Here is a 10872-nt window from a genome sequence, read left to right as displayed (position 1 = left end):
AAAGCAAAATCCTCCACTAGAAAGCGCCCCCATCTCTAATCTGTAACAGTGAGAGCCTCAGGACGAGTTCCGCAGACGCTCATTTAAAGCAAACTTTTTCAATGACCTTGAGGGTGGCTGTACTTACACGCGGAGAAGCAAATCGACCGCAGCTGGAAAGGCGCTGGGTCGAGCGTGAGAGGAACACGGGTTTTACCTAAGGGAGAGTGGAAGAGAGAAGGGGGTTCCCCAAGGGCCCCGGCCCCTTCGCCTCGTTCGGGCCCCGCGGCCAAGCTCCTCGCACCGCAGCCCCGGCTGTGCAGAAGCGGAGGGGCGGAAGGTGCTCTCAGAACTTTCATTTTCCACCCTGCAGCAGTCCCGAGCCTCGGCTGGAGAACTCGGATGCTTGCGAAACGGCGAGGTCCAGCAGGGGCGGGACGGGGGCGGTGGGCGGAGGAGGATAGGGCGGGGCCGCGGCGGTGAAAGGGCCCGGGGGCGGGGGCGGGGGCGGGGCGAGGCGAGGCCGCCGCGGTCCGGGCCCCCGACGTGGGCTCCGTGCTCTGCACCCAGCTCCTTCCCGGGCGCGCACACGCGCTTCCTCTCTTGAGCTCCCGGGCGTCCGGAGGCGAAGGTCCCGGAGCGTTCACGAGAATCCGGGTCCCGGCGAGTCCGGGGTCCGCTCCTCCAGCTGCGCCCAGGGCGCACGAGCCGGCCAGCCTCGGGGAGAGGGCGCGGGGGCGCTGGGGGTTCTTACGGGAAGATGAGGAAGCCCGACAGCAAGATCGTGCTCCTGGGGGACATGAACGTGGGGAAGACGTCGCTGCTGCAGCGGTATATGGAGCGGCGCTTCCCGGACACGGTCAGCACGGTGGGCGGCGCCTTCTACCTGAAGCAGTGGCGCTCCTACAACATCTCCATCTGGGACACCGCAGGTGAGGCCGGCGCCGCATGAGCCACACCGCCCTGGGGCTCCGCCGGGGACGGGGGGCGCGGGGCTTCCAGCAGGGCACCCGGCCGCGCACAGGGTCCCGGCCTCGGACAGCAAATGCCTCCTTCTCGGGGTTTCCCACTCGTCCTCCCTTGCTGGTTGGGCTGAGCGCTGCCTCTCAGCCACTCAGTGACCTCAGGGACAACCCAAGTTGCAGAGAACCCGCTGGTCATTTGTGTACCTAAGCTGCCTTTGCTCCCGAGCCCCGCGTTCCTGCTCTGCCGCCCTGGGAACCAGAGACGCTCCTCTGTGGCTGCTTTGTTAGGTATTTTCAGTTTTCACGTACCCGTAGGAACATGATATCCTTTGAGATTCACTTGAGGGGTGAGCAGAGCTGGTGTTATTAGCCCCTTTCTAAGAAAAAGTAAAATGAGGCACAGAGTGTTCCCCCCTGTTGGGTTTAGTCAGGAGAGAGGAAATAAAACTGGAGCCTCCGGACCTCTTAGCCCGGAGCATATCTGCCTTTTACAGTTAATCTTCTGCTTGATCTTGGCTCAGATACGTCATATGGGTTTGGGTTGGAGTGACTTCCGGTGGAAGCATTTTTAAGATAGGTAATGAGTTATTTTTATTGTGTAGTATTTGTGACTTTTCAAAAGTACAACTTAGAGGATCTCAATTCAGGCTTTCTGTTTAACTTTGGAAAATAACACTGGTGATTGTAGCATTGCAATGGAATATATTTCCTTCTCCTTACAAAAGAATAAGATATTGTAAGTGAATGAAGAAACTGGAAATAGTGTGACACATTTTCAATGAGTGTGAGTTTTTAGAAGCCTGAAACTCTGAAAGTTCTGACTTCTTTTATGTTAGCATCTTAAAAAGTCATATACCCAAAGGCCCCGTCCAGAATTCTTAAATTGCCATCTTGGGTGTATCAGTATGCTGAATAAACAAGATGATAATGAATTCTCTCTTTAAAACTGAATTAACGAAGCTCACAGAGGTACTTCCAGTTCTCCCCCTCCCTTTTGCCTTCTTTGATGCTTTTTTATTATTATCCCAGTTAACATCGTGACTAATTTATTGGCAATCATCTTGTGAAAACAATGTCCCCCAGGTAAAGAGGTGCATTTCCCTGATCTTTGCTCCAACTCTGTCTTCTGCCTCAGGCTGCAGGATGAGGTTTACTGAGCTGACTCCCTCACACTGAGCATTTGGTAACGATGGAACACACGCTCTAGAAGTCAAATCGAACCCAATTCACGAACCCAATTTGCTTCTGTACAAAGTCAAATTGAACCCAATTTGGTTTTGTACAAAGCTTTGCCCCTCTGCTGCTTTTGCTGGTTGGCTGGGATTTACTGCTGCCCTTGGTTTACAAGTAGCAAGGTTAATGCAGGAGTGTTATTGGGGGACCCTAACCGAAACCCCTGTAGTGGCCACCGTTGGAGGCAGACTCTTAACACACGGTGTGTTTCTGGAACAAGAGCTGCCCTGCAGTGCTGGAACGGCCCCTGCATCGGAGGGAATGAAGCAGCAGTTTCGTTTCCACTGGCCTCTTGCTTCTTCAGCACCAAGGACGTGATGCAGCCGGAATCCTGATCACCAGAGATTTTGCAGTTGTGCTGATGTGACGCCCCAGATGTCTTGAAGCGTTACTGGGGGGCAGCAGCTCATTTCCTGGCATCCGAGGCTGCTGCTGCTTGTTCGAAAGATCCTAAGGGTGAATTACTAGAGCTCCTCAGAACAGAGAGTGGCCAGGCCCCTTCTCCACATTCCTGACTTCCTGTGTACACACTCAGGCGGCCCTTGCCCAGAGTTGGCAGGGACACAGGGCACCCTTGCCTGCCTCCTCGGTGGCCTGTGGCCTGACCGGGTACTTGAAGGGAAAAGAGAGGTAGGAACAGATACCTTTTCTATAATTGTTGGAAATTCAGAATTTAACATTTAGGGGACCCTGTTCTTTTCCTTCTTTTGCTGAGCTCCTAAACTTTCTCTCCACCCCACAGACATTGCTTTTCAAGTTGTTTTTGTTGTAATTGTCATAACCGAGGCAGAATGGTAAGGACCAGCCGGAGGAGGAACCATTTTGAAAGTTGCTTTTAGCCACACAAGGCAGGGTGGGCTGGGGTGGGGGTGCAGGTGTGCAGAGGGCGACAGGATGTTTAATAGTAAAAACGATTGCATGGGGGTCAGTGTACACCCAATGCCTGGCTGCTTGTAGCCTGCAAGGCAGGCAGTGGATGGAGCTGAAGAGGGGGAAGAGAGTTGGCAGGGCAGAAGTACATTACCCTATTCCATTGACACAACAGTCCTCCAGAGGGAGGTGTGATTATTTGCATGTTAAAGATGGGGCCAGGCGTGGTGGCTCATGCCTGTAATCCCAGCACTTTGGGAGGCTGAGGTGGGTGGATCACGAGGTCAAGAGATCAAGACCATCCTGGCTAACATGGTGAAACCCCATCTCTACTAAACATACAAAAGTTAGCAGGGCGTGGTGGCGCACACCTGTAGTCCCAGCTACTCGGGAGGCTGAGGCAGGAGAATCGCTTGAACCAGGAGGCAGAGGTTGCAGTGAGCCAAGATTGTGCCACTGCACTCCAACCCGGTGACAGAGCGAGACTCTGTCTCAAAAAAAAAAAAAAAAAAAAAAACAGATGGGAAGACAGGGCTGCGCGGTGGCTCATGCCTGTAATCCCAGCACTTTAGGAGGGTGAGGCGGGCAGATCACCTAAGGTCAGGAGTTCAAGACCAGCCTGGTTAATGTGGTGAACCCGTGTCTACTAAAAATACAAAAATTAGCTGGGTGTGGTGGCTGGCGCCTGTAATCCTAGCTACTTGGGAGGCTGTGGCAGGAGAATCGCTTGAACCCTGGAGGCGGAGGTTGCAGTGAGCCAAGATTGCGCCATTGCACTCCAGCCTGGGTGACAAGAGTAAGACTCTGTCTCAAAAAAAAAAAAAAAAAAAAGTGGGAAGACAGCAGAAGTTAAGTGGGATTTAGACCTTGGTTCATCCAACTCCAACTCACCTTGTCTCATTATGCCCTTTTAGGGGGCACTTGCCACTCCCAGCCCTTGTCTAATTGGGCACACAGATGTGGAGTGGTTGCTGTGCATGGGTGGGTACATCCAGGAAGCAAAAGGAGGTTGCCCAGCGAGGAGGCAGAGCCCTAGAAGACGTACTGCTGTGCTCCTCTGTGTTGCCCGGTTGCTCAGGACAGCCTAAAGTGGTGTTGCCTGTTGTTGGCAAATATAAACTGAGGCTCCCCGGTGCCGGGCACTGTTTGGGCCCTCGTTCTACAGCAGTGAGCAGGCCGGCTGGCCGCTGCCCCGCAGGCCCTGGATTCCAGAGGAGGGGGAAAGGCAGGCAAGAAGTGAATGGTACAGCTTCACATCTGATCGTTGCTCTGAAGAAAATACGACAGGCTGATGAGAAAGCGGCTGGTGTGCCCAGCACAGACCTGGTCCCCAGAGCCCTGGAGACAGAATGCTCTCCACATTTGTTTTCCTTCCCTTCTAAAGGCCGTGGCCTGGCGGCCGGGAGGCGGGGGGAGCAGGGGCATTACCTGACTCACGTTTGCATCCCCAGCACCTGGCCCTTGAAGAGCCAGCTTGGAAGGCGGCGGGGAGCCCAGACTTGCGCCACTTCCCTGTGCCGGCATCCAGCTCCAGCTGCGTCTCTGGGGACTGGGTGTTGGAGAGAGTGAGTGCATTTTGCATGTGGAATGGATGCACGTCTGTGGGAGCCTGAAGCCAGGCTGTGACAGACAGAATAGTGGCCACCGCAAAGATGAGACATCTTGGTCTCTTGAGAGTCCTCTGGCCTTTGGGTCCTTCTGAGGCACCAGCAGAAGGTTATGTGGCCACACCAGGGCCTCCTCTCCAGCACAGGCGTTCCGGATGGTGGGCCTCCTAGTGTGAGCCTCCCAGCAATCTGCCTGACTGAGGACTTCCCACATCACCAAGTCCTGCTCCTCTTTGTTCGACAATTCTTCCCTCATCCTATCTGTTCTTCCTCATCTTAATATAAACAGCAAGAAAAATCCACACCTTCAACACTTTGCTTGGAAATCTCCTCAGCTACATATCCAACTTCATCACACAGTGATGCTTCCCTCACAGCTGTGGGGCACGACTCAGCTGAGCTCTCTGGCACCACATCCTCCCTCCTCCAGCTTCTGATAACACAGTCCTCATTCAGACCCCAGGCTTCCACCTGTAATTGGCTCCTTCTGGTGGAGGTGTTCACTACGAGGATGCAGGTTTTCTCTGCTATGCTTCTCGCTTCCTTCTGATTCCTCACCAGCAGGGCTGTTCATGTGCACCTTCCTGCCAACCATCTGTTTAGGCCAATCCGGGCTGCCCTCTCATGATCCTCAGATCCTCCCAGATCTGCCATTGCCCAGTTCTAAAGCCACTTCCATATTCGTGACAGCCTCTCTCTGCTCCCAGTTCCAAAGTCTGTGTCAGTTTCCTATTGCTGCTATAACAAATTAGTTACTTAAAACAACACAAATTTGCTGGGCATGGTAGCTCCTGCCTGTAATCCCAGCATTTTAGGAGGCTGAAGTGAAAGGATCACCTGAACCTAGGAGTTCAAGACCAGCCTGGGCAACACAGGGAGACGGTTTCTACAAAGAATAAAGAAGTTAGCCAGGTGTAGTGGTGCGCACCTGTAGTCCCAGCTACTTGGGAGGCTGAGGTAAGAGGATTTCTTGAGCCTGGGAGGTTGAGGCTGCAGTGAGCCATGATCATACCACTGCACTCCAGCCTGGGCAACAGAGTAAGACCCTGTCTCAAATGAATAAATAAATAAAAATTAAAACCATAGATATATTGTCTTTAAGTAGTCTGGAGGTCAGAAGTCCCAAATGAGTCTCTCACTGGGCTAAAGTCAAAGCTTGCAGGATTGCATTCCTTTCTGGAGGCTGAAGGGAGGAACCTGTTTCTTAGACTTTCCTAGCTTCTGGAGCCTGCCTGATTTCCTGGTTTTATCCTCTCTCCGAAAAGGCAGTCAGGTCAGGTCTGTCCTACACAGCATCCCTCTGAACCAGCCCCTCTGCTTCCCTCTTCTAAGGGTTTAAAGGACCCCTGTGATTTTGTGGGATCCATCCTGGCCCTTGTTTTCAGGGTGGTTGACTGGCAGGCTCAGCGTCCCTCACCCATGTGATGAGGGCACAGGTTCTGGAGATCAGGGCATCTGCCGACCACAGCTGTGGCTGTGGCTGTGTCACCTCCTTTTGCATCAGGCTCCTCCTGTGTAATAAGGGAAGAAAGGGGCACCTGTCTGAGCTTTGTTAGGAGTCAGCCAGTTAACACTGGCAAGGTTCTCAGAACAGTGGCCAGAATGAGGAAGTACCATGTGAGTTTTGCTAAACAAACATTGTCTCCTGGCCTTGGGTGCCTGTCACTGAGGTTACACCAGCAGGCATGTTACAAAGGGAGGAGGGAGGCTCAGCTGGGCCCCTAGCAAACAAGTCTCTAATAAATGGGGAGGCCACGGCGAGAGGAGGGAAGGCTGGGGGCACTCGCGGTGGCCGTGGTAAAGAGTGAGAATAAAAGTCGCCATCTGCCACCCAAGGGCTCAGCAACCTGGGAGACCTGGCCATATTGAATTTCTTCCTTTGCTGTTTGGAGTCGAGCAGGGGGCCGGCTGATGACTGGTTTCACCCGCAGAAGGCACAGGCTGATTCACGTTTGCGCTTCCGTGGCGTCCTCTGCCCAAGCTGCGAGGAAACAGTTCCTCTGTCTGTCTCAACTAGAAGTCTGAGCTTTGGCATGAGCCTTGCAGACCCCAATGTTCTTGGTGCCAGAACCCAAGGACGGGTGGACGGCAAAGATGTGGAAGAGAGATGGGCCCAGCCTCTGGCCTCTTTAGAGGATGCTGATGGCTGAGCCACCTGAGAAGGGATCAGGGTGCAATGGCCCTGGAATCTGTGTGACAAAAGGCAGGACTGAGAAAATGGGGGACTCTGTGGTGTGGAATGGAGAGGACTGGAGCCCCAGTCCCAGGAAGTTTTTGAGTGTTGGAAGGTTGTCACGTGGAAGAGGAATTCAAGCCTCATTTGAGTTCTATTCCGGCGCGTTAGAGTAGTTGGAGGTTTGTGGTGGGAGAGCAGGTGTGGCCTGTGTGTAACAGGACGGGCTGCCTCCGAAACTCGTGCTTCCAACACTTACAGTAATTGCCACTGTATGTGGGTCCCTGCCACGTGCCAGGCTCTGTGCAGGCTCCATACTCCCGGGCTACATCCTTTTCACAAGGCTCCTCCTGGGAGGCGTCAACGTTGCCGTCCTACAGACTGGGAAGCAGCATCTTACAGAGGGGAGGCGGCTCCCACAGTCGCTCCCTGACACGGTGCCAGGGCCGCTCAGCTTCACAGCTTGGTCTTCCTGCCCTTGGGAACCCAAGGTCTGGATGCTGCTTGGCTCAGGACCTAGAGTACGGGTTTCTCAGTGGATCAGGTCCCTCCCTCCCAAGCCGAAATGCAAGGATTTTTCAAGGAAAGGCTCGTGATGGGTTTAGGATCTCAGGTTCTCCAGGCCCTCTCTGGCCTCAGAGGTGCTGTGAACCCAGGCTGGGCTCTGCAGCAAATGAAGATGCTGCTTCGCTCATGCAGGCTCTTTCCTAAGCCCCAGGCAAGATTCTGAGCAATTGGTTTAAGAGCTTTCTCTTTACCTGAACAACTGCAGTGCAGCCCAGGAGAGGATGCTGGAGTTTCTGGTTATGAAATCTTGGGCCTGGAGGAGGGAGAATGTAAGTGCTCGTTCCCGTGAAGTTAGCTAAGAGATTGGCCTGCATGCTGTGAACTGCTGTCTGTCTGAGGCAGAGCCCAGGTGGCTTTTGTGAAGGACAAAGGTGGCTTGTGGGTGAAGGTGCCGAATGAGAGGGAGAGTTCAGCTCAGAGGACCGCGAGCCCCCACCTCTCTCCTTCCAGTCCACACACAAACCTCAGCCCCCAGCCACATGACAGCTGCTCCTAACGGAATGGGGTGGAGGCTGTGTCATATGTGTTGCTGCTTCAGGTTGGAATTGTGATGATGCTGTGGGTGGGCCTGGAGAGCAGCTCTCTTTGGCAGGGACCCCATGGCTGGCTGACATTCGGCACTTTTGACTTGTGTGAGGACTGCACATTTTTTAAAAGCCTTGAGAGATTGGTGCAAAAGTGAATGCACAGCCTGCAAAACACGTGGAGCCAGGGGGATTTTATTTATTTATATAATTATTTAATTTTTTTGAGACAAGGTCTTGGTCTGTTGTCCAGGCTGGAGTGCAGTGGGGTAACCACAGCTCACTGTAACTTCAAACTCCCAGGCTCAAGCAATCCTCCCACCTCAGCCTCCTGAGTAGCTGGGACCACAGGTGTGCACCCTTATTTAAAAAAACAATTTTTGTTTTTGTAGAGACGGGGTCTTGCTACATTGCCCAAGCTGGCCTTGAACTCCTGGGCTAAAGTGATCTTCCTACCTTGGCCTCCCAAAGTGCTGGCATTACAGGCATGAGCCACTGCGCCCAGCCAGGAGTCAGATTTTAGCTGGCTTTCCTATTACATTAGTTTCTATTTTAGCCTCAGTCGGGAGAGGCTTCTGAGTGGTTTTTGAGGCCTTAATATGGTGACCCTCAGCCTGACAATTAGTGTTTGTGTGACTGGAGACCATTTGGTCAATCACATGGTCTTTCTACAGATCTGGGGCCTGACGCAGGCCTGCTGCTGGTTGTTGTAAATAAAGTTTTATTGGCACAGCCACATGCACATGCATGCACTTAAATGCATTGTCTATGGCTGCTTTCACCTTGTAATGGCAGAGTTGAGTCATTGCAACAGAGACCAGACAGCACCGAAAGCCAAACATATTTACTATCTGGCCCTTTGCGGAAAACATTTGCTGATCCCTGGTTGGGTTGTGTAAAGGAGACAATGCTTCTCTAAAAGTCTGTTCCCATAGGTATAGACGCTTCTAAAAAGGTTTAATATTCAGCAGTTGTAGGACACCAAGATTCAGTTCAACTCAACAAGCAGCTCTCAAGTTTCTACTGTGTGTGTGTACTGAGCTAGAGTGGAGTGAGGGTGGATTTAAGATGAACACCAGCTCCTACTGAACAAAAGATCTTGGAAGAAATGCCAGTTAAGGTTTGTATCTGGAAGGTCAACCTGCAAAACCCCAGGCACATGTGGGTCCACATGGTCACCTCTACTGAGGACTTCGAACAGGTGCCTTCTGGGTGCAAGGCCTCATTTGTAGAGTCCCTCTGCTTTATTGACCAGCAACAGTGGCCTGAATATGAATGTGGGTATTAAGATGGGGGAAAGAGAATTAATTGGTTGTCCTGGCCTCAGCAGGAGTGGACAAAGCGACATTATACTCGGAGATTGCAGAGCACAGTGGCCGCTTGCGAGCAGTGTGCGCTGGGAGGCTCGGCCCACAGCCTCCTGGAGTGGCGCCTGGGAATCCTGGGGTGCCAGGGGACCTTGCAGGCTCTTTAGTGCACTGTGGTTCAGGAGAAACTTAATTAAGGTCAACTGTGTTTGTTAACGAGCACCTGAGTCACACTGAATGCCTTTGGGAGACAATTTCATGCTTTGTTATCTTTAAGCTCTCTGGAGAAATAGAAATTTTTATTTATTTATTTATTTATTTATTTATTTATTTATTTATTTGAGATGGAGTCTCACTCTGTCCCCCAGGCTGGAGTGCAGTGGCATGGTCTTGGCTCACTGCAAGCTCCGCCTCCTGGGTTCACGCCATTCTCCTGCCTCAGCCTCCTGAGTAGCTGGGACTACAGGCGCCCGCCACCGCGCCCAGCTAATTTTTTGTATTTTTAGTAGAGACGGGGTTTCACTATATTAGCCAGGATGGTCTCGATCTCCTGACCTTGTGATCCACCCGCCTCAGCCTCCCAAAGTGCTGGGATTACAGGCGTGAGCCACTGCGCCTGGCCCTATTTATTTATTTTTAATTTTTTTTTTTTTTTGAGACAGAGTCTCACTCTGTTGCCCAGGCTGGAGTGCACTGGCACGATCTCGGCTCACTGCAACCTCTGCCTCCTGGGTTCAAGTGATTCTCCTGCCTCAGCTTCCCGAGTAGCTGGGATTATGGGTGCCCACCACCATGCCCGGCTAATTTTTGTATTTTTAGTAGAGACAGGGTTTCACCATGTTGGTCAGGCGAGTCTTGAACTCCTGACCTCAAGCAATCCACCCACCGTGGCCTCCCAAAGTGTTGGGATTACAGGCGTGAGCTACCGCGCCCGTCTTATTTATTTATTTATTTTTTGAGACAGGGTCGTCTTCTGTCACCCAGACTAGAATGCAATGCTGTGATCTTGGCTCACTGCAGCTTTGACCTCGTGGGCTCAAGCAGTCCTCCCACCTCTCAGCTGGGACTACAGCACCACCACACCCAGCTAATTTTTGTATTTTTTTTTTTTTTTTGTAGAGACAGGGGTCTCAGTATGTTGCCCAGGCTGGTCTTGAACTCCTGGGCTCAAGATATCGTCCCTGCTTGTTCTCTTCAAGTGCCGAGATTACAGGCATGAGCTACCATGCCTGGCTGAAAATTTATGATGCCAGATCAAATTGCCCTTCTTTCTGTATTGAGACTTCATATAACATCCCTCTCCAAGAAAAATAAATTTTGTACAAACATACACACACGTACAAACACACACGCCTAAACAGCTGTTGATTCTTAGGATAATGGATTCATCACTGCGACGACAGAGTTCCATGGTCCAGCTGGCCGCGAACGCTGGCCCAGGCAGGTTCCAGCTTCGTTTCAACCCTGGCTTCCCTGGTGCTGTCTCTTCTGCACCTCACTGAGGGGTCTTTCTGCCAGGCCTCCTGGATCTGGTCACCTTCCCTGCTCAGAGCCCCTCCAGCACTCCCCAGCTTATCACTCCTCTTATCTGCCTGCTGGCACTTGAGCCCTGATGTACGATTTGCAGTTCGTCCTGTGTGCCCTGTC

The 10872-nt window shown here is 52.3% G+C and overlaps 1 protein-coding gene across 1 annotated transcript in view, besides 6 other annotated features; it reads left to right on the top strand.

The window, feature by feature from the left end:
- Positions 408-857: a silencer, noted in NCBI's record as "silent region_5504". NCBI's record gives its function as "represses an Ori minimal core promoter by ATAC-STARR-seq in GM12878 lymphoblastoid cells {active_cell/tissue: GM12878}" and the evidence as "EXISTENCE:reporter gene assay evidence [ECO:0000049][PMID:35858748]".
- Positions 408-977: a biological region, named in NCBI's record as "ReSE screen-validated silencer GRCh37_chr13:111213668-111213857".
- The window catches only part of RAB20 (RAB20, member RAS oncogene family), a 38657-nt gene continuing 28321 nt past the window's right edge, over positions 537-10872 (top strand). Inside the window, exon 1 of the mRNA NM_017817.3 lies at positions 537-911. Within this exon, the coding sequence (NP_060287.1) occupies positions 740-911 (172 nt within the window). The 5' untranslated portion in view covers positions 537-739. The remainder of the gene's footprint in view (positions 912-10872) is intronic.
- Positions 749-938: a silencer, noted in NCBI's record as "fragment chr13:111213668-111213857 (GRCh37/hg19 assembly coordinates)". NCBI's record gives its function as "represses an EF-1alpha promoter that drives an FKBP-Casp9 reporter gene in an ReSE screen in phorbol 12-myristate 13-acetate-treated (for megakaryocytic differentiation) K562 erythroleukemia cells {active_cell/tissue: K562(+PMA)}" and the evidence as "EXISTENCE:reporter gene assay evidence [ECO:0000049][PMID:32094911]".
- Positions 918-977: a silencer, noted in NCBI's record as "silent region_5503". NCBI's record gives its function as "represses an Ori minimal core promoter by ATAC-STARR-seq in GM12878 lymphoblastoid cells {active_cell/tissue: GM12878}" and the evidence as "EXISTENCE:reporter gene assay evidence [ECO:0000049][PMID:35858748]".
- Positions 3819-4341: an enhancer, noted in NCBI's record as "H3K4me1 hESC enhancer chr13:111210265-111210787 (GRCh37/hg19 assembly coordinates)". NCBI's record gives its function as "activates a minimal SCP1, AML or CMV promoter by ChIP-STARR-seq in primed H9 embryonic stem cells {active_cell/tissue: H9 hESC(primed)}" and the evidence as "EXISTENCE:reporter gene assay evidence [ECO:0000049][PMID:30033119]".
- Positions 4342-4865: an enhancer, noted in NCBI's record as "H3K4me1 hESC enhancer chr13:111209741-111210264 (GRCh37/hg19 assembly coordinates)". NCBI's record gives its function as "activates a minimal SCP1, AML or CMV promoter by ChIP-STARR-seq in primed H9 embryonic stem cells {active_cell/tissue: H9 hESC(primed)}" and the evidence as "EXISTENCE:reporter gene assay evidence [ECO:0000049][PMID:30033119]".

This window comes from Homo sapiens, chromosome 13, assembly GCF_000001405.40.
Source record: "Homo sapiens chromosome 13, GRCh38.p14 Primary Assembly".
NCBI classification, from domain to species: Eukaryota; Metazoa; Chordata; class Mammalia; order Primates; family Hominidae; genus Homo; species Homo sapiens.
Note: the sequence above shows the minus strand (reverse complement) of the source record. Positions and strands in the feature narration are given on the sequence as shown.